Here is a 22,682-nt window from a genome sequence, read left to right as displayed (position 1 = left end):
TACAAAAGCACTTTTAAAGTCATTCTTGTTTCACTATCACATGCCTGGATTTGGGTATGAAGTGAGTAGCTTTTTCAAGCTTCCCTAAAAGAAGTAGTAGAAAGAGTCAAGGAACAAATCCAAATTTTCTGACTCCAAAAGTACTATTCTCACTGTTGACCCTCTCCAGAGAGTTTCACCCTTTCATTCAACAAATATTAACTGTCACTGTCTCCTTTCTCATCTACACCTATGGAAATTCTATTCAACATTCAAGTCTAAGTTCTAAAACTACCTTCTCCATGAAGTAGTAACTGAGGCCAAGAACAAAAATAAACTTGCCTGTAATCTAAAATCCTATTAACAGTGGTTCCTAACTCATAAGATTCTCTTTTTTTTTTTTTTTTTTTTGAGACAGAGTCTCACTCTGTTGCCCAGGCTGGAGTGCAGCGGCATCATCTTGGCTCACTGCAACCTCCGCCTCCCAGGTTCAAGCAATTCTCCTGCCTCAGCCTCCCGAGTAGCTAGGATTACAGTCACGCACCAACATGCCCAGTTAATTTTTGTATTTTTAGTAGAGACAAGGTTTCACCATGTTGCCCAGGCTGGTCTTGAACTCCTAACTTCTAGCGATCTGCCCACCTCAGCCTCCCAAAATGCTGGGATTACAGGCGTGAGCCACTGCACCCAGCCGAGATTATCTTTTAAATCTGAAATACTTTCATGATACAATCCCTCATATTCATTAAGTGCATATTGTGTACTAGAAACGGTAGTACTGAGAATTAAATGGTGAATAAGACAGTTGTTGCATTCAAAATGCTAAAACTATAGAATAGAGAACCCAAATATTGGTTTGTTATATTAAAAAATAAATAATATACCTTTGAGCCAAATCAAGCAGTAGAGTTGCCACACTGCATTATTTTTAAAATTCCAGTTTTAATAAAACAAAAATTACAAGATGTACAAAAAAAGGAAAGGATAGTCTATGCACAAGAAAAACAATGGTCAATAGAAACCGTCCCTGAGGAACACAGATATTGTACTTAACAGACAAAGTTATTTTTGGTTTTGTCTTGGTTTTTTCTTTTTTTGAGACGGAGTCTCGCTCTGTCGCCCAGGCTGGAGTGTAGTGACGTGATCTCGGCTCACTGCAAGCTCCGCCTCCTGGGTTCATGCCATTCTCCTGCCTCAGCCTCCCGAGTAGCTGGGACTACAGTTGCCCACCACCATGCCCCGCTAATTTTTTGTATTTTTAGTACAGACAGGGTTTCACCGTGTTAGCCAGGATGGTCTCGATCTCCTGACCTCGTGATCTGCCCGCCTTGGCCTCCCAAAGTGCTGGGATTACAGGCATGAGCCACCGCGCCCGGCCCTTGTGTTGTTTTTTGAGACAGGATCTCACTCTGTCACCCAGGCTGGAGTGCACTGGTGTGATCACAGCTTGCTGCAGCCTCCACCTCTTGGGCTCAAGCGATTCTCCCACCTTAGCCTCTGGAGTAGCTGGGACCACAGGTGTGCACAACCATGCCCGGCTAATTTTTTTTACTTTTTGTAAAGACAGAATATCCCTTTTTTGCCCAGGCTGGTCTCGAACTCTTCGGCTCAAGTAATCCCCTTGCCTCTGCCTCCCAAAGTGCTGGGATTACAGATATGAGCCACCATGCCTGGCCAACAAAGATTCTGACTCAGCTATTTTAAATACAGTCAAATAACTAAAGGAAATAAAATCTAAAAACAAAACAAAACAAAATTTAAATTGTAAGAACAACACCTCACCAAATGAAGAATATCAATAAAACGAAGAAATTATAAAATAATCAAATAAAAATTCTGGAATTGAAAAGGAAAATAAATGAAAAGCCACTAGAAGGACTCAGTAGTAGATCTAAGTAGGAAGAGAGAATCAGCAAACTTCAAGATAGATGAATTGCAATTATCCACTCTGAAGAACAGAAAGATGACTATATGTTAGACCATTTAAATACCCAAAATATTTTAAAAGGCTGAATTTATATAATGTAAAATGTGTGCTGTAACATCTTTTGTCCCTAGTGATGGTTTTTGTATTAAAGTCATTGCAAATAGACACAAAAAAAGCATTTAACAAAACTCAACACTCAGGTTGGGAGCAGTGAGTGGCTCATGCCTGTAATCCTAGCACTTTGGGAGGCTAAGGCAGGCAGATCACTTGAATCCAGGAGTTCAAGACAAGCCTGGGCAACATGGCAAAACTCCGTCTCTACAAAAAAATACACAAATTAGCTAGGTGTGGTGGCATGGGCCTGTAGTCCCAGCTACTTGTCGGGCTGAGGTGGGAGGATCACTGAAGTCTGGGAGGTTGAGGCTGCAGTGAGCCATGATTGCACCACTGCATGCCATCCTGGACGAGAGTGAGATCCTGTCTCAAAAAACAATAAAATAAGTGGATGGGCATAGTGGCTAATGCCCGTAGTCCCAGCACTTTGGGAGGCTGAGGTGGACGTATCACTTGGGGTCAGGAGTTCGAGACCACCCTGGCCAACATGGTGAAACCCCATCTCTACTAAAAATACAAAAATTAGTTGGGCGTGATGGCTCACAATCCCAACTACTCAGGAGGCTGAGGCAGGAGAATCACTCGAACCTGGGAGGTGGAGACTGCAGTGAGCTGAGATCACCCCACTGCACTCCAGCAGTGGAGTGCAAAGTCAAAGCGAGACTTTGTCTCAAAAAAAAAAAAAACAAACAAACAAACAAAAAACAAACCAATAAACTAAAAAATAAAAACAAAACAAAAAAACCTCAACATTTCTTTATAATGAAAACACTTAATGAACCAGGAATAAAAGGGAACCTCCTCAATCTGATAAAGGATAGCTACAAAAACAAAACAAAACAAAACAAAAACAGCTAATATAAAACTCAATGGTTAAAAAAAAACCTGAATGCTTTCCCCTTATTAGGAGAAATAATACAAGGATGTCTGCTTTCAACACTTCTTTTCAACATTGTCTTATATCTTCCAGCTATGGCAATTACAAAAAAGAAAAAAGAACATCGACATTGGAAAGGAAGAAGTTGAACATTTCTAGTTTAGTTGCAGATAATATGGTCTTGCATACAGGAAAAATCGAAGGAATTCACCAAAACAAAACAAAACAAAACAAAAAACCTATTAGAACTTACAGATGAGTTAGCTCTGCAAGGGTACAGGAGACAAGATCAATATACAAATTTAGTTGTATTTGTATACATGGATAATGAATAATCAGAAAATAAAGTTAAGAATACAATTATATTTAGAATAGCAGTAAAATGCTTAGAAATAAAATAGCAATAAAATGCTTGGTGGCCAGGCATAGTGGTTCATGCCTGTAAATAAAACTTTACAGGCATAAGCACTTTGGGAGCCAGAGCGGGAGGATCACTTAAGTCTTGGAATTCGAGACCAGCCTGGACACAAAGTGAGACCACATTTCTACAAAAAACTAAAATAAAATAAAATAACAAAAACAAGGCCAAGCACGGTGGCTCATGCCTGTACTCCCAGGACTTTGGGAGGCCAAGGTGGGTGGATCTCCTGAGCTCAGGAGTTTGAGACCAGCCTGGGCAACATGGCAAAATCCCATCTCTACCAAAAATACAAAACATTAACCAGGTGTGGTAGCATGCACCTGTGGTCCCAGCTACTCAGGAGGCTGAGGTGGGAGGATGGCTTGGGCCTGGGTGACAGAGGTTGCAGTGAGCCAAGATCATGCCACTGCACTCCAGTCTCGGTGACAGAGTGAGAACCCATCTCAAAAAGTAAATAAATGAAAATTAAAATAAAAATAAAATGCTTGAGAGTATATTTAACAAAACAAATGTGAGACGTTTACACTGAAAACAAGGTAACATTAAAAAAATTAAAAACCTAAATAAATAAAAAATCCTGTGTTCATAGGTTGAAAACTTAATATTGTTAAGATGACAAAACTCCCCAAATTCATCTACAGATTCAATGCAATCCCTGTCAAAATCCGTGGTGTTTTTAATGCAGAAACAGAAAAACCTGACCCTAAAATTGATACGGAAATGCAAGGCAACAGCCAAAACAATCCCAAAAGAGAAGAAAGTTGGAAGACTCACACTTACTGATTTCAAAAGTTGTTATAAAGCTACATTAATCAAGACTTGGGGGCATAGTAGCAAAGGCTAAACATACAGATCTACAGAATATAATTGAGGGGATAAATATAAACCCTCACCTTTATATTCATTGACAGTTCATTGGGAAAAGAATAGTCTTTTCAACAAATGGTATTGGTACAACTGGATAGCCACAAACAAAAAAAATGAAGTTGGACATCTATCTCTCATACTAGCAAAGGTCTAATCATAGCACACTGCATACCTTTAAGTCTGCCTTCTCCACTAGAATAATTTTCCTAAAGGGCAGAGATAGTCATATCCATCTTTGTAACTCTGGTGCTCAGTCTTTGGTGTACTGCAGTTGTTCAACATATATTAAATTAAACTCACAAAACTCCCTCTCTGAGATGATCAAATATTTTAGTTATGACTGTTTAGTTACCATACTACTAAAACTTTCAAGAGGACATAAAAATCATGATCAAATTGCGCACAGTTGCTAATGACTGTTGTTATGACTACTTTCCATCGAGAACCATAATGATTAAAAATCTGGGAGAATACTTACTTCCACAGAGAAGCCCTGCTCATGACTGGTTATTTCTCCACTATGTAGAGTTCTCATTATTGTAGATTCAGGAATCACAGTTGATTCTACTCTCTGAGAACTATTTATGTACATTTCATTACACTGTGATTGATCAATATTCAAATCATGGTGTGCTGACACATCATGTTTACTGCTTGACGTTTTTCTCTTTTTTTTCTGCTTCTTGGAAGGACTCTGCCCATCCGACTGAGCTTTTCTTTGTCGAAACTGGGCAAGCTAAGAAAAAAGAAAATAACCGTTATTGTCAAAGATAATTTTTCTTTATTGCCACCAAGAAAAAAGCAGCTTTGGGAGTCTCTCTTTTAAAGATCAAACTATCACTAAATAAAAATGAAAAAATAAAGAACAATTATTACAGTCTTTAATGTAACTACTGGAATGCAAAGAAACATTTCTGAATAAACCTACTGAAATATTGAGGGGTAAGAACTGAAAATGTCATGTCTAAATAAAAGAAAATAAGCCCAGAATTAGGCAGAATAAGGGAAATCAGGCACTGTCATTCACTGCTTAGTGAGAATATAATCTCACCAAGATTTTATTTTATTTTTTGAGACAGGGTCTTACTCTGTCATCCAGGCTGGAGTGCAGTAGCGCCATCACAGCTCACCTCAACTTTCTGGGCTCCACAGATCCTCCCACTTCAGCCCCCAAGTAGCTGGGACTACAGGAACATGTCATCACACCTGGCTAATTTAATTCTTGTATTTTTTTGTACAGACAGATTTTTGCCACGTTGCCCAGGCTGGTCTTCAACTCCTGGGCTCAAGCAATTCGCCTGCCTCAGCCTCCCCAAAATACTGGGATTACAGACGTGAGCCAGTGTGCTGGCCAAGCTCTGGATTTTAGATTATATGAAAACACACACATACACACATGCACACACAGAGCACTACATGAATTTGCTTTCTGGAATTTCTGTGTCTTCTATTACTATATACTAAAAAGATTTAGTTCATGCAAAAAGATTTAGCTATATAAAGTGGTCACTGCAGCCTTATTCATAATGGGAAAAAAAACTGGAAATAACTTAAATATCAAACAGCAGTGCTTTCCAGCCCTTAATCGTTTACATATCATCATCAGGATTTTTGTCCTATCCTAGAGCCACCTTTATGTATCATTTACTTAACATGTTTTAACCAATGTAGTTTTCTTATTTAAATTTATTTTAAGAACAGAGGCTTCCATTAGGTCGGTACAAAAACTGCAATTGCTTTTGCACCAACCTAATAGCTCCAAAATGGTGGCACAGAAGCAAGTTGCCTTCGCTTCCCCTAACAGAAAACCAAAAGCAAATATACAGAGCTTAGATTATTACTGGCGATATCCCAGAACTCAAATATGAGGAAGAAACAGTATTCAAGACCATGGAGAAGTGAAAAAACTCTGAGCAGAAGTTAAAAGAATTAGACTTTGATTTTCATGATTCCCATTCTCCTAATCTGCCCATCACCAAACATGGAAAATATTCCCCTGACTCACAGTTTCTACACTGGAAAAAGTGAGATCAAGGTGGACAACCAGCTTCTCCATCAACTTGGGCTCCTTGACAGGAGATCTGTCCCTGGCTCAACCAGGGACAACCAGGAAGTACTGGGAATATCTGAAGGGAGAAATATTCCTAACAGCCAGAGACAAAGCGGGAAGGCAAGACTACCATTCCTAGCCCTGAAAAACCCTGCTTTGTAACTTGGCCAAAGGAGACGCCAAATCAGACTGGCTGTTCAGCAGCATCACACTGTAAGAGGTTCATGCCACAGGTCCTCTGGGCACGAGCCCCTAGCCAGACTAGGGGCCTTTGGGACCTTACCGATCAAGGATGGATAACACTGATTGTTTACTAGAACTGAAGCAAACTGGGGCTAAAGACATCATATACATTATATTATGTAGTACTGAAACAGAGGCAGTGACATAGTGCAAAAAAAAAAAAAAAAAAAAGAGAGGCAAAACATAAAAGACTCTATGAGCAAACATATCCAGTAAAAGCTAAAACAAGCCAGACAGAGAAGACTAGAATAAATAACAAAATCTTCACTTTAAGAAATAGATGTAGGCCGGGCACGGTGGCTCACACCTGTAATCCCAGCACTTTGGGAAGCCGAGGCGGGAGGATCACGAGGTCAGGAGATCGAGACCATCCTGGCTGACACAGTGAAACCCTGTCTCTACTAAAAATACAAAAAAATTAGCCCGGCAGTGGTGGCAGGCGCCTGTAATCCCAGCTATTCGGGAGGCTGAGGCAGGAGAATGGCGTGAACCCGGGAGGCAGAGCTTGCAGTGAGCTGAAATCGCGCCACTGCACTCCAGCCTGGGCAACAGAGCGAGACTCCGTCTCAAAAAAAAAAAAAAAAAAAAAAAAAGAAATAGATGTATATCCACAAGAAACAACAGCAAATGGGAAACCTTGACTTAGTCAAATGGACAAAGCACAAAGAACCAGTGAATCAGTGAATGACCCTAACAAGACAGAAATATGTGAACTCTGTGAACAAGAATTCAAAACAGCAGTTTAAAGGAAATTAGTGATCTCCATTACACAGAAAAACAATTCAGAAATGTATTAGAAAAATTTAACAAAGATTAAAAGTTTTTTATAAATCAAAAAGAAATTTTGGAACTGAGAAAGATTTGCTGAACAGAAAGAATCATTAGAGGCTCTCAACAGGAGAATGGATCAAACAGAAAAAAGAATCAGTGAGCTCAAAGACGGGCTATTTAAAAATACAGAGGAGAAAAGGAAAGAATGAAAAGGAACAAAGATCACCTAGAAGACACAGAAAATTACCTCGAAATATCAAATCTAAGAATTATCAGTGTTCAAAAGGGAGTTCTAGTCTTCACTGTCTGGCTTGTTTTTTACTGAATGTGTTCACTTAGAGAGTCTTTGCAATTTATGTATTGTTTTTGTATCTTTTTTTTGGTACCATGTCACCGCCTGTTTTTCAGCACTACATAATATAATGCCTAACTTTAATGCAAGGGGGTAGAAATCTTATTCAAGAAATAATAAAAACTTTTTAAAACTTGAGAAAGAGATAAAATATCCAGGTATAGGAACGTTAGAGAACAAAGCAGATTTGACCCAAAAAAGATTACTCCAAAGCATGTAATAATCAAACTCTCAATGGTCAAGGACAAAGAGAGGATCCTAAAAGTGGCAAAAGAAAAGAAGCAAACAATGTATAAAAGAGCTACAATTCGTCTGGCAACAGACTTCTCAACAGATACCATACAGGTCATACAGGAGGAAGAAACCATATAGGAGGATGTGGGACAACATGTTCAAAGTGCTGAAGGAAAAAAACAGCCACCCAAGGATACTGTATCCAGCAAAGCTATCCTTCAAATACAAAGAAGAGGAACAAAGTCTTTCACAGACAAACAAAAGCTGAGAGAATTCACTAACACATACCTGTCTGACAAGAAAAGCTAAAGAGAGTTCTTCAATCTGAAAGAAAAAAACACTAATGTGAAAAAACAAAACATGTAAAGGTATACAACCCACTAGTAAAATTAAGTACGTGGACAAACCCACAATACTCTAATACTGTAATTGTGGTGTAGCGCCCACTCATAACTCTAGGATGAAGTCCAAAAGACAAACCTACCAAAAACATTAATAGCTACAGCATCCTATCAAGAAATAGGCAATATAAAAACATGTAAATTGAGACAAAGTAAAGTCAAAATGTGGAGGGAATGGAGTTAGAGTATAGAGGGTTTTTTTTTCTTTTGTTTCCATTATTTTCTTTGTGATCTAAAGTAAGTTGTCATATCATTAAAATAACTGCTTGAACCTATGTCTTTTTAAGTCTCATGGTGACCACAATGCCAAAAACTATAATAAATTCACTACAAATAAAAAATCAACAAATTCAAACATACTACCAGAAAAAAAAATCACTTAACTTCAAAGAAAGACAGTAAGAAAGGAAGAAGAGAGGAATTACAAAACAACCAGAAAACAAGCAACAAAATAGCATTAGTAAGACCTCACTTATTAATAATAATACTCAAGGTAAATACACTCAATTCTTCAATTAAAATGGCGAGAGTGGCTGAATGAATACAGAAGTAAGACCCAACCATAAGCTGCCCACAAAAAACCCACTTCGCCTATTAAGAATGCGCACAGACTGAAAGTGAAGGGGTGGAAAAGGATATTCCGTGCAACTGGACACCAAAAAAGAACAGGAGTAGCTATACTTGTATCAGATAAAATAGGCTACCAGTCAAGACTATAAAAAGAGACAAAGAAGGTCATTATATAATGATAAAGGTGTCAATTTAGCAAGCGGATATAACTATTATAAATATCTATGCACCCAGCACCAGAGCCCCAAGTATAAAAAGCAAGTATTAATAGATCTAAAGGGAGAGATAGACTGCAATACAGTAATATAGGGAACTTAAATACCCCAATCCCAGTATTGGACAGATCATCCAAAGAGAAAATTAAAGAAAACATCAGAATTAAACTATACACTACGCCAAATAGGCCAAACTGACATCTACAGAACATTTCACCCAACTCCTGAAGAGTATTGTTTTCATCAGTATATGGAGCATTCTCCAGAATAGACCATATATTAGGTCATAAAACAAGTCTCAACAAATTCAAAAGGTAGAAATCATATCAAGTATCGTTTCTGACCATAATGGAATAAAACTAAAAATCAGTCACAAGAAGTACCTCAGAAAACACAAACAAATAATAATTAAGTATGTTCCTGCTGGGCATGGTGGCTCATGTCTGTAATCCCAGCACTTTGAGTGGCTGAGGTGGGATGAATGCTTGAGCCCAGAAGTTCAAAACCAACCTGGGCAACAAGATTTCACTTTGTTGCCCAGGTTGGTCTCAAACCTACAAAATTTCAAAACATTGGCTAGGCATGGTGTCCCACGCCTGTGGTGCCAGCTACTTGAGAGGCTGAGGCAGGAGGATCGCTTGAGCCCAGGAGGTAGAGGCTACAATGAACCATGTTCACACCACTGCACTCCAGCCTGGGCAACAGAGAAAGGCCCTGTCTCAAAAAACAAAACAAACAAAAAACCAACATAATCCTGAAGGACAAATGGGTCAATGATGAAATTAAAAGAGAAAATTTTAAATTTCTTGAAAGAAATGAAAATGGAAATACAACATACCAAAATCTATGTGATAAAGCAAAAGCAGTACTGAGAGGGAAGTTTATACCAATAAAACAATATGAGAAAGACTTCAAATAAACAACCAAACAACGCACTGCAAGAAACTAGAAAACCAAGAACAAACCAAACCCAAAATTAGTAGAAGAAAGGAAATAACAAAAATCAGAGCAGATACAAATGAAATTGAGGCCAAAACAGTCAATACAGAAGTCAATGAAACAAAAAGTTGCTTTTCTGAAAACATAAACAAAATCAACAAACCTTTAGCTATACTAATTTTCATAAAAGGAGAAAGGTCAAATAAAATCAGAAATGAAAAAGAAGATGTAAAAACTGAGACCACAGAAATACAAAAATCATTACAGACTATTATGAACAACTATATGCTAACAAATTCAAAAACCTAGAAGAAAAAGATAAATAAATTCCTGGACACATAGAACCTACCAAAATTGAACCATGAAGAAATAGAAAACCTCAACAAACCAACAATGAAATCAAAGCCTTAATAAAAAGTCTCTCATCAAGCTGGGAGCGGTGGCTCACACCTGTAATCTCAGCACTTTCAGAGGCCGAAGCAAGTGGATTGCTTGAGCTTGAGCTCAGGAGTTTGAGACCAGCCTGGGCAACATGGCAAAACCTCGTCTCTACCAAAATACAAAAAATTAGCCAGGCATGGTGGCACATGCCTGTGGTCCCAGCTACTTGGGAGGCTGACATGGGAAGACGGCTTGAGCCCAGGAGGCAGAGGTTGCAGTGATCTATGAACACACCACTGCACTCCAGCCTAGGCAACAGGAGACCCAATCACACACAGACACAAAAAATCCCCCATCAAAGAAAAGCCCAGGACTTGATGGCTTCACTTCTGAATTCTACCAAACATTTAAAGAATAACAATTATACTCAAACTCTTCAAAAAACTTAAGAGAAGGGAGTACTTCCAAACTCATTCTATGAAACCAACATTAGCCTGATACCAAAACCAGACAAGGACACAACAAAAAAGAAAACTACAGGCCAATATCACTGATGAACATAGATGCAAAAATCCTCAACAAAATACTAGCAAACTGAATTCAACAACACATTAAAAAGATCATTCACCATGATCAAGCGGGATTCATCCCAAAGACACAAGGATAGTTAAACATGTGCAAATCAATAAATATGATACATCACATTGAAAGAATCAAGAACAAAACCCTATGACCATTTCAATTAACGCTGAAAAAAAATTTAAAATTCAACATGCCTTTAGGATAGAAACCCTCAACAAACTGGATACAGAAGATGCATACCTCAAAGTAATAAAGGCCATATATGGCAAACCCACAGCTAATATCACACTGAATAGGGAAAAATTAAAAGCCTTTCCTCTAAGTCTGGAACAAGACAAGGAGGTCCACTTTCATGCAACATACTGGAAGTCCTGGCCACAGCAACTAAGCAAGAGAAAAAAATAAAAGATAACCAAATTGGAAAGGAAAAGGTCAATTTAGCCTTATTTGCATACAATATGATCTTATACTTAGAAAAACCTACAGACTCCACCAAAAACTGTTAGAACTGATAAACAAATTCAGTAAAATAGCAGGATACACAATCAACATACAAAAATCAATAGAAATTATATATACCAACAGCAAACAATCTGAAAAAGAAATCAAGAAAGTAATCACATTTACTATAGCTACAAAGAATATAAAATACCCAGAAATCAATTTAACTAAAGAAGTAAAAAATCTATACAAGGAAAACTATAAAAGAGTGATGAAAGAAATGGAACAGGACATTAAAAATGGAAAGAAATCCATGTTTGTGGATTAGAAGAATATTGTAAAAATGATACTATCCAAAGCAATTTACAGATTCAATACAATCCCTATTGAAATACCAATGCCATTATTCACAGAAATAGAAAAAACAATCTTAAAATTTTGATAGAACCACAAAAGATCACAAACAGCCAAAGCAAAAAGAACAAAGCTGGAAGCATCACATTACCTGACTTCAAAATATACTACAAAGCCATACAAACAAATCAGCATGGTCTTGGCATAAAAACAGACACACAGACCAATGGAACGAAACAGAGAACCCAGATATAAATTCACACACTTACAGTCAACTCATTTTCTACAAAGGTGCCAAGAATATACAACATCCACACAGAAAATAAACATCAGAGTTAAACTACACACTAAATAGGCTAAATTGATATTTACAAAACATTTTATCCAACTGCTGAAGAATACACATTCCTTTCCTCAGCACATGGAACATTCTCCAGAATAGACCATATATTCTGAGAAAAGGACAATCTCTTCAATAAATAATGCTGGGAAAACTGGATAACCATATGTAGAAGAATGAAACTACATAAGTATCTCTTACCACATACAAAAAAAATCACATCAAAATGGATTTAAAAATCTAAGACCTGAAACTACAAAAAGAAAACAGTAGAGAAATACTCTAGGACATTGGTCTGGGGAAAGTTTTTTTTTGTCTAAGATCTCAAAAGCAGAGGCAACAAAAACAAAAACAGACAAATGGAACCAGGCTAAAAAGTTTCAGAAGAGTGTGGTGGCTCAAACCTGTAAGCACAGCACCATGGGAGGCCGAGGCAGGAGGATCACTTGAGCCTGAGAGTTTGAGACTGGCCTGGATAACATAGTGAGACATAGATCTATCTCTACAAAAAATAAATAATTTAAAAAATGTTTTTAAAGCTAAAAAGTTTCTGTACAGCAAACGAAACAATCAACAAAGTGAAGAGACAACCCACAGAATGGGAGAAAATAGCTACAAACTATTCATCTGACAGGGAGTTAACAACAACCAGAATATACAAGAAGTTCAAACAGCTGGACAGCAAAAGAGCAAATAATCTGATTAAAACATGGGCAAAATATCTGAACAGACATTTCTTAAGAGAATACATACAAATGGTCAACAAGTATCTGAAACAATGCTCAATGTTACTAATCATCAGAGAATTGCAAATCAAAACCACCACGATATATTATCTCACTGCAGTTAAACTGACTTTCATCAAAAAGACAGGGAATAACAGATGCTGGGGAGGATGTGGAGAGAGAAGAGCCCTTGTATACTGTTAACAGAAATGTAAATCAGCACACACTATGGAAAACTGTATGGAGGATTTCTAAAAAACTAAAAATAGAACTACCACAGGATCCAGCAATTCCCCTACTGGGACATATTCAAAAGAAAGAAAATCAATATACAAAGGAGATAGCTGCATTCCCATGTTTTTTTGTAGTACTATTTACAATAGCTAAAATATGAAATTAGCTTAAGTGCCCATCAATTGATAAACGGATAAAGAAAATGTGGTATGTACACAATGGAATATTATTCAGCCATAAAAAAAGAACAAATTGTCATTCGCAGCACCATGGACACAAATGGAGGGCACTATGTTAAGTGAAATAAGCTAAGCACAGAAAGACAAATATCAGACGTTCTCACTCATATATGGGAGCTGAAAAAGTAGATGCAAATAGTGAGTAGATTGGTGGTTACCAGAGACTGGGAAGAGTAGGAAGGTGGAGAAGATGAAGAGGGGCTGACAATGGATACAAAGAACAGTTTAACAGAAGAAATAAAACCTAGTGTTTGATAGATTGGTAGGGTGACTATAGTTTACAAAAAACTACTAAATATTTCAAAATAGCTAGAATAAAATAATTTGAATATTTCTAAAAAATATTTGAATATTTCACTAATTAAAGCTAACGGACATCCCAATTACACTGATTTGATCCTTACAAACTATATGAGTGCATTAAATTATCACATGTATTCCCAAAATATATACATTACATAACAATAAAAATTTTAAAGTAAATTTATTCTAAAAGGAGACTTTCTATCCTTGGCACAAACTAAAAGTCAGTATCACTGTCATTTCTTTTTTAGAAAAGTAAACAAAAATAAATACAATGAAAAAATTATTAAAATTTTAGTTAGATTTTGTTGAAGGGTATGAGAGAAATGGGCAAGTGTTAAAAGGGTGTTAAAGATATATGAGTATCAAACAGACTCTTGGCTATCACAAGCAGATGAACTAAAAGAAAACTGGCAAACATAATAACTTTCTTACAATACTATCTAATGTTTTTCTCTTTCTATTTTTTTATTTTTATAGATTTAGGGGGTACAAATCCAGTTTTGTTACATCGATATATTACATAGTGGTGAAGTCTGAGTTTTTAGGGTAGGCATTACCCAAATAGTGTACATTGTACCCATTTATCCAATGTTTTTAATACTGGATCAGGATAGACCTAAAATATCACCACCTAACATCAGAAGTATGTATTACATGCTTTAGGCAACATTAGGTTAACTATGATGACGCCATATTAAAATATTTATGTAAACCATTATTGCTAACAAAGATGTTCATGACACAGTAGTAGGTATATTACTGCTGCATAATCTATTTTTATGAAAAAAATAATGTACACTTCTTTTAACAGAGAAGGCAGGACTCAAACTCACATCCTTCAACAATCGTATCTAGCTTGAATTTTAATAACATTGTACTTGTAGGCATAGAGAAACTCTGGAAGAATATAACTGAGAACTTTGGTGTATCTCTGACTTGAGATTACAGGTATTTTTCCTTTTGCTAATGTGAAATTTCCTTTTGTTATGCAATAGATTTTCTAATTTTTCTAAGAAGCAACTATTAGCCACCTATTCCTAAATTGAATTTGAGCTCTTTGGTCATTCTGAGAGGAGAGAAACCAAAGAATAAGAAAAGGTGTAAGCTTTGTTGTGCTTTAAAAAAAGGAAATATACTACTAGTATTAATATAACTATTAATTAGACCAGTTACAACAATGGCCAGAAAATTTATCATAAAAATAAAGCAATTTTTAATGATGCTCATATTACTATCAAAATATGTGACAAATGGCTGGGCGCGGTGGCTCACGCCTGTAATCCCAGCACTTTGGGAGGCTGAGGCGGGCGGATCACAAGGTCAGGAGTTCAAGACCATCCTGCCTAACACGGCGAAACCACATCTCTACTAAAAATACAAAAAAATTAGCCGGGCATGGTGGCGGGTGCCTGTAGTCCCAGCTACTCAGGGGGCTGAGGCAGGAGAATGGTGTGAATCCGGGAGGCGGAGCTTGCAGTGAGCCGAGATCATGCCACTGCACTCTAGCCTGGGCGACAGAGCAAGACTCCGTCTCAAAAATATGTGTGTGTGTGTGTGTGTGTGTGTGTGTGTGTGTGTGTGTGTGTGACAAATATGTTATCTACAGAATAACACACAACATATTTTATACTTATTTTGTCTGCTGTGGATGAAGGAAAGCATATGTACTATTTACTTAATAAAGACATCTAATTTATAAATCAGAAATAGCTAATCACTAGCCTAGTAGGATATAAAAATAAATTATATTTAAATTTTTTCCCAGTTATTCAGCAACTACACAGTTATTCCACCTCATGTCTCCTTGAGGAACAGGTGCAAGACCAGTTGCCTCTACTTGTACATTAAGAAACTGGAATGCACTTAAACTACTTTGGAGGGTAGCAAATTCATTCTTAAAAATAAACCAACTGGAATACTGCTAAATATATTATCTGTAAATGGAATCAGAATTCTAGGTGCATTGTTTAAAAAGAAAAGATCCCTCAGAGAGAATGCAAAACCAAAAGAAATTAATAGCATTTTTGATATTTATGCTCAATTTCAGAAACTTAAAATTCCACATTGTCTGCATTAGAAAATACATTTAGACAGCAAAATATATCAGGGCAAAGGTGAAAATTTGGTTTGAGATTCCAACTGTAATTAGGGTATACATAATTTATATTTAATATTTATTCAGATGTGCAAACACATAATAAATGAGAAAAACTAAAACTTTGCATCATAAACAGTTCGATTAAAAATCTGAAACAATAATATTCATTACTAAATGAACCCAAATTAAAAAGATAATGGATAGATATGGAATCAAAATAGGAATTTTTCTATTATAGTGCTTAGAACGAATCACTTTTAAGGACATTAAATTACCATGGCATTGTTTTAGGCCTATGTTACTGATTATATGAAGTCATATTATTTTTCAGATTAACCGGAAGGTAAGTTCACTGAGGGTTAGGGCTTTCTTTTGTTCTCTGCTATATATACAAAGCCTAAAATAATATTCAGAGTAAAAAAAGATAATTTATCTTTTACAGAAAAGTCACCACTAAGCAATGATTTCAAGCACCACTTCACAAGACTTGAGAACCAAAACAGTTTAACGGGCATATTTAATTCTACTACATTAAAAACTCATGGTTTCAAAATTAACAAATTTCTAGTTACTTATTAAATGAATTAAAACACAAAAAATTATAATCTCCCTCCTCCACCAAAAGACAAAAAGCAAAACAAAATTTAAATTCTCAGAAAAATAATATCTACAATAACTTTTTAGCAAGAGTTCTGTTTGGTAAAAATGTGAGAGAGGGAACAAGATCATATATATCCAATTTCTTATACTAATAGATATTTAAGCTATTTACTCTCAATCTGAAAAATGGCAAGCTAGCAGATAAGGAAAAAATTCTACTCAATTAGGTAATCATCTTATACTGAAATGATGCACTTTAAATTTCTGAGAAAACATTTATTCTAAAACATGGTGAAAATTCAGACTACAGCCATCTGTGTTTGTTATTTGGAAGCCAATTATAAAAATGTTAACATATGTAGTCACAGAAATAGTTGCAAGATTTACTGGAAAGATATTATGTCCATATATAATTGCCTTTCAAAACTGGTTCGGATCTCAAGCAAATGTCTTACCCTGATCAGAACATGAATAAATGACTTAATACAAATAATAACTTATTCCTTAAACTCAAGATTTTTTTTTTTTGAGACGGAGTCTCACTCTGTTGCCCAGGCTGGAGTGCAGTGGCGCGATCTCAGCTCACTGCAAGCTCTGCCTCCCCAGTTCACGCCATTCTCCTGACTCAGCCTCCCGAGTAGCTGGGACTACAGGCGCCTGGCACCACACCCGGCTAATTTTTTGTATTTTTAGTGGAGATGGGGTTTCACCATGTTAGCTAGGATGGTCTCAATCTCCTGACCTCATGATCCGCCCGCCTAGGCCTCCCAAAGTGCTGGGATTACAGGCGTGAGCCACCACGCCCAGCCAAACTCAATATTTTTAACTTAACAAATGATCATTCTGAATAAAACAATGAATTTTCAAAATGCTGTATAAAATATGCCAAGTTTTGGCCAGGTGTGGTGACTCACACCTGTAATCCCTGCAGTTCGGGAGGCTGAGGCGGGTGGATCCCCTGAGGTCAGGAGATAGAGACCAGCCTGACCAACATGGTGAAACCCCGTCTCTACTAAAATACAAAAATTAGCTGGGTGTGCTGGTAGGCGCCTGTAATCCCAGCTACTCGGGATTACAGCTACTCGGGATTTTACTGAGGCAGTAAAATCACTTGAACCCGGGAGGCGGAGGTCACAGTGAGCTGAGATGGCACCACTGCACTCCAGCCTGGGCAACAGAGTGAGACTCCGTCTCAAAAAAAAAAAGCCAAGTTTTTATAATGTCAATTCAAAAAAATCAACTATTTGGAATCTCTTCAGTTTCTTGAGTGTTCATTGTTCATTATGTGCCAGGCACTGTGCTAGACATGTGTCAAAATATATGATCTTAACAGTAGGACCCTTTAGTCTACTATTATTTAATAACAGTCTCTCATTTCATCAAGTTGTGAGAAATAAATGAGATAAAAGTTAATACACAATTTCATAAACTCAGCAGTCCTATATATATTTAAGGAGGTGGTATGGGAACCTCCCTTGTCCTGATTTCTTCATATAAGTCTTTCCAAAAGAGATGTGGTTGTAGAGTTTTACCTGTGAAGAAAATAACTTGGCATATGTCAGGTAGTAAGTAGTTTATTTATTCAACAGATATTTATTGACTGCCCATCATGCATGCAACTTTGTGCTAAAGTAAGACATGTAGTGAGGAATAAAAGAGGTATAAACCCTACTCTCATGAATTGTAATACAGGTGGGAAAAACAAATTAAATATAGATAAACACAGAAATATATCATCTCAAGTGATAAAAAGTGCTTTGAAGAAAAAGGTATTAGGAGAGCCTCACACAGAAAAAATTTAATTTAAATGGGGTCGTGTGGGGAGAAGTCAGGAAATGTTGAAAGAATGTGGAAACCAAGATTTAAAGATGAATATGGGTTATCTGCCCAAGATCATAAGCAGTAAGCAGCAAAATAAAATGGAACAACAATATCTGACTCAAAATCCAACTTTCCATTATACCATTTGCTTTCCATGCATTCTCATCCTGCTTTTCATTCATCTGTCATTACACCCCAATCCTAGAACAGTAACTTAAAGAACATGAGCAAGTGATATCACCAAACAGACAAGTGCTTTTTTGACAAGACTGGAGAGAAAATAAAAACAAACACGATGAAACAAATATACTCGAGAGAATGGTACAAAATATTACTTAAATGTGTTACCTAGTTTCTCCAGTATTCAAAAATAGCAGTAAATAGAGCTGTTTTTTGTTTTTGCTGTAGAAAAGCTAAGAAATACCAATTAATTCTAATTATGATGACTATATATACTTGTCAATGCTGCCTTTAAACGTTTTTAGTATTCCTTAATGAATGATAAACATGAATGCTAATACAAACAACTACAACAAAACTCCAGTAGCCTAACTAGGGAAATAAAAAGATTATAACAGTTGTCCCAAAGACCATTTGTAAATGAAGTTGAAGTAAGGCAACTGAAAGTAAAGAAGACAAAAGCAACATTTTAAGGATGCTTTAAAGTATTCTTAAATATCACAAAGATACAAACTGTTGGAAAATAACAGTGCCAAACAGGCCTGAGGGAATCAGGAATGGAAAAGACCACAGGACTTTACATATTGAGTGACCAGTCCAGTCCTACTTATAGCCTATAATCTCATTTAATATAATTTTTTTTTAAATAAAGGTTTTGGACCACCGTCATGTCTAAAAAGAAAACAAATTCTGCAGCTTAAGGAACCATCTTAATGTTACATATTTTAACACAATTTCACTGCCTGCCACATAGTAGACACAAATGTTTGTTGGAAAATAATGTTTCAAAAAGAGTATGTGCTTTGGGAAGCTAAAGTGGAAAGATCACTTGAGGCCAGGAGTTTGAGGCCAGCCAGAACAGCATAACAAGATCCATCTCTTAAAAAAGTAAATTTTTTTTTTTTTTTAAATTAGCCAGGAGTGGTGGCCCACACCTGTGGTCCCAGCTAGTTGAAAGGCTGAGGTGGAAGGACTGCTTGAGCCCAGGAGCGAGGCTGCAGTGAGCTAGGATCACATCACCGCACTCCACTCCAGCCTGGGCAACAGAGTGAGATCCTATCTCAAAAATAGTAGTAATAATAAAATTAAAATTATTTTAAAAACCAAGGTGAATATCAGGTCCATGGTTACACTATTGCACAACTATGCAATGTAATAACATGTAGCTGTCAAAAATAATGTTTTCAAGTCAGTGTGGTGGCTCATGCCTGTAATCCTAGCACTTTGAGAGGCTGAGGTGGGCATATTGCTTAAGCCCAGGAATTCGAGACCAACCTGGGCAACATAGTGAAACCTCATCTCTACAAAAAATACAAAAATTTGCCGGGCGTGGTGGTGCAGGCCTGTGGTCCTAGCTACTTGGCAGGCTGAGGTGGGAGGGTCACTTGAGCCTGAGAGGTGGAGAATGGAGTGAGCCAAGATCATGCCACTGCATTCCAGCCTGGGTGACAGAGTGAGACCCTGTCTCAAATAATAATAATAATAATAATAATGATGTTTTCAAAAAAAAAATCTTAATGAGCAAAAATGCTCTCAACATAAACTTGGATAAAAAAGAACAAAGCTGCATATATAGAGTAAGATTTAAGTAACGTTTTACTTATGCATAGAAGAAAAAGAATAAACAACAAACTATTCAAAATCATTACTTGCAGGTTATAACACAACAGGTAATTGTTTTTCTCTTTGAAAGATCTTTACTGCCTGCCTCCCTCACACAACTCTAAAGTATATTTACTAATAAAATTATCGTGGGCCCATATGCTAATATCACTATTTTTAAAGGATATATACAACTACATACCTACTAGAAATCTTATCCCTAAAGAAAGTGCTGTTTAGATGTCACCTATCCTATCTCTGCTTCATTTTACAGTCATCTCAGTTACTGCTAACAATGAACAGTGAGAAGAACGGCACTTTACCCCTAACGTTATCTACCCTAAGTATATTATTAAGTTTAATCCCATTAAAAATAAACAACAAATAACACTGCACAGTTTATGTAAAGGAGAATGCCCAAAGCAAGGTATATTTGTAACAAATAGACACTCTCTCAACAGCATAAAATGCATGCCAGTTTACCATCTGAGGTTAACTCATTTATAAACCTACATTATACATTATTCCCTTTCATATGGATATATTTTTGCAGGAAATATTTACTAAAAAATAAAAGAACTGCTGCATCTGGTCAGCATAGTGATCCATGTTGATGGACATCAGGTATCCATCATCAGCTCCCATGGACATCTGTCAGAGATCATTTATGTGATGAAACCAGGCATGTAATAAACACATGAATATCAGTTTGCTTTTGACTTCACTCCCTCTTCTTACTCCATTCCTGAATGTAGTCACTACTCCCCAAGGACTGAAGGACCTTGGGATCATAATCTCTGCATATCTCTAAACCCTTGGCATGTGCTGTACGTCAGAACAGAAAAAAATAGCACAGGGGCAGTATTTTTTTTTCTGAAAATAGTTTTATTATGGAAACAAAATAAGGAGGGTAATTAAGCATGAAATAATTTCATTCTTGATAAAAGTATACTGATTATTACAAAATTTGAAGTGTTAGTTTATAGCCCAAATCTTTTAAAGAATTTGTGTCTGCTGAAATGAACTTTCATCATTTGCAAAGATGCAACTTTAGTTACAGGAGGAACATATTTAATCTAAATATACATTGTCATAGATAAGACTCAGAGGATAATATATATAAAGCTAACTGTACTCATCTGTGTTAAATAGCTATCCAAAGCTACTAACCTAAAATATGAAAGGGTTGTTTATGATACATTTCAAACTATAAGTCTGGAATTCTTGTTCCTTTGTGATTCCATTATTCTACTAAATACATATAGTGGTTAGAAGTCCAGTGTACCTCTTATAGAACAGCACATAGGATTAGATATGCCAAGATTAAAATGTTGCATATTTTAGGAAACTCAGAAATAATTCAAAGATGCTTTTATGCTAAACTCAGCAAATTTTGTTTCAAAATGTTTTTTATTATGAAAAACAAGTATAATGTTTGGACGTTAATGTACAGAAAATAGTTGTCATATATATTCCTTTACAATTTTCACACCTGTTTATTTAAAGTGTTAATTCTACACATTTAAAAACATAATAATGAGATCCTGTTTCAATAGGAAATTGTTAAATTTTACTTGCAACTTTTTGTAGCTATAATTCTAATACACATTGGGATCTAAAACTATTAGTAAACAGCAATAATAGAGACTACATATTTTTTTAATTGGGCAAATGAAAGGAGAATATATTGAGATGTAAATCAGGAAGTAGTTATTCGCGTTACAAAAAGTTTTTAAATATGCAGATTAATTAAAAACATATACCCTTTAAATACTAAAGCATTTAAAATAAGTTTAACAAAAAAGGCAACTTACATACTTTTCAAAACCCCATCAGTTGTATAAAGAGAGGCACTACTTTTATCCACAAAAAGCATCAAAATTTTTTAACAGTTCAAAAATAGAAGCCCAAAACAACTGATTTATCAGAAACAAAACAATACAATGGCTATTCACAGTGTAAGAAATTAAATCTATTTTTTTAGAGCACGTTTTTCAGTCTCAATTTATAACACACTTTGACTTCCATTTCTGCTTTTCCTTAAATCAATCTGGACTGTGTGGAAGAATGCCATAACATGAAGCTATTAGCAATCTGGGTTAATGTTCTACAAAAAAAAATATGCTGTCTATATACACAGAAAGTAATGAAGAAAAAAGCGCTGAAGTACAATGCATACTCCTTAGGTTCTAAAACTCTATCAGTCTAATAGAAAGCACCAAGATACAGATGCCAAAGTTAGAAAAAATACAAAGCAGCTCAGAATCAATATCATATATCTTATTCAAGGTAAATTTTATGTTAGATTGTTTGTCTGGCATTTAGGAGGCTAGAAATCCCATCTCTACTTTTTTTTTTTTTTTTTTTTTGAGACAGAGTCTCACTCTGTTGCCCAGGCTGGAGTGCAGTGGTGCAATCTCGGCCCATTGCAAGTTCTGCCCCCCGGGTCCACGCCATTCTCCTGCCTCAGCCTCCTGAGCAGCTGGGACCACAGGCGCCTGCCACCACACCCGGCTAACTTTTTGCATTTTTAGTAGAGATGGGGTTTCACCGTGCTAGCCAGGATGGTCTCGATCTCCTGACCTCGTGATCCGCCCGCCTCAGCCTCCCAAAGTGCCGGGACCACAGACGTGAGCCACCGCGCCCAGCCTCCATCTCTACTTTTAACAAAGATTTGCTTATTACTGAATTAAAGTTAATAGTGAAAATAGCATAGTAAAGACTCTTTTTTGTGTTTATTGATGAGGAAACACTACTAAAATGTTCTTATGGAAAATGAGGAAATACATAATAATTTTTTGAAAATAAAAAGTAAACTT

General features: G+C 36.4%; 1 protein-coding gene across 2 annotated transcripts in view; it reads right to left on the bottom strand.

Annotated features, from left to right (window-relative positions):
* The window catches only part of AKAP9 (A-kinase anchoring protein 9), a 169,812-nt gene that overhangs the window by 132,042 nt on the left and 15,088 nt on the right, over positions 1–22,682 (bottom strand). For both annotated transcript variants that reach the window (NM_005751.5, NM_147185.3), the window contains exon 2: positions 4,664–4,921. In NM_005751.5, coding sequence (NP_005742.4) covers positions 4,664–4,921 — 258 coding nt within the window. The remainder of the gene's footprint in view (positions 1–4,663; positions 4,922–22,682) is intronic.

The sequence above is a fragment of the Homo sapiens genome, chromosome 7, assembly GCF_000001405.40.
Source record: "Homo sapiens chromosome 7, GRCh38.p14 Primary Assembly".
Taxonomy (NCBI): Eukaryota; Metazoa; Chordata; class Mammalia; order Primates; family Hominidae; genus Homo; species Homo sapiens.
The sequence above is the reverse complement of the archived record's forward strand: the minus strand, read 5'-3'. Positions and strand labels throughout refer to the sequence as shown.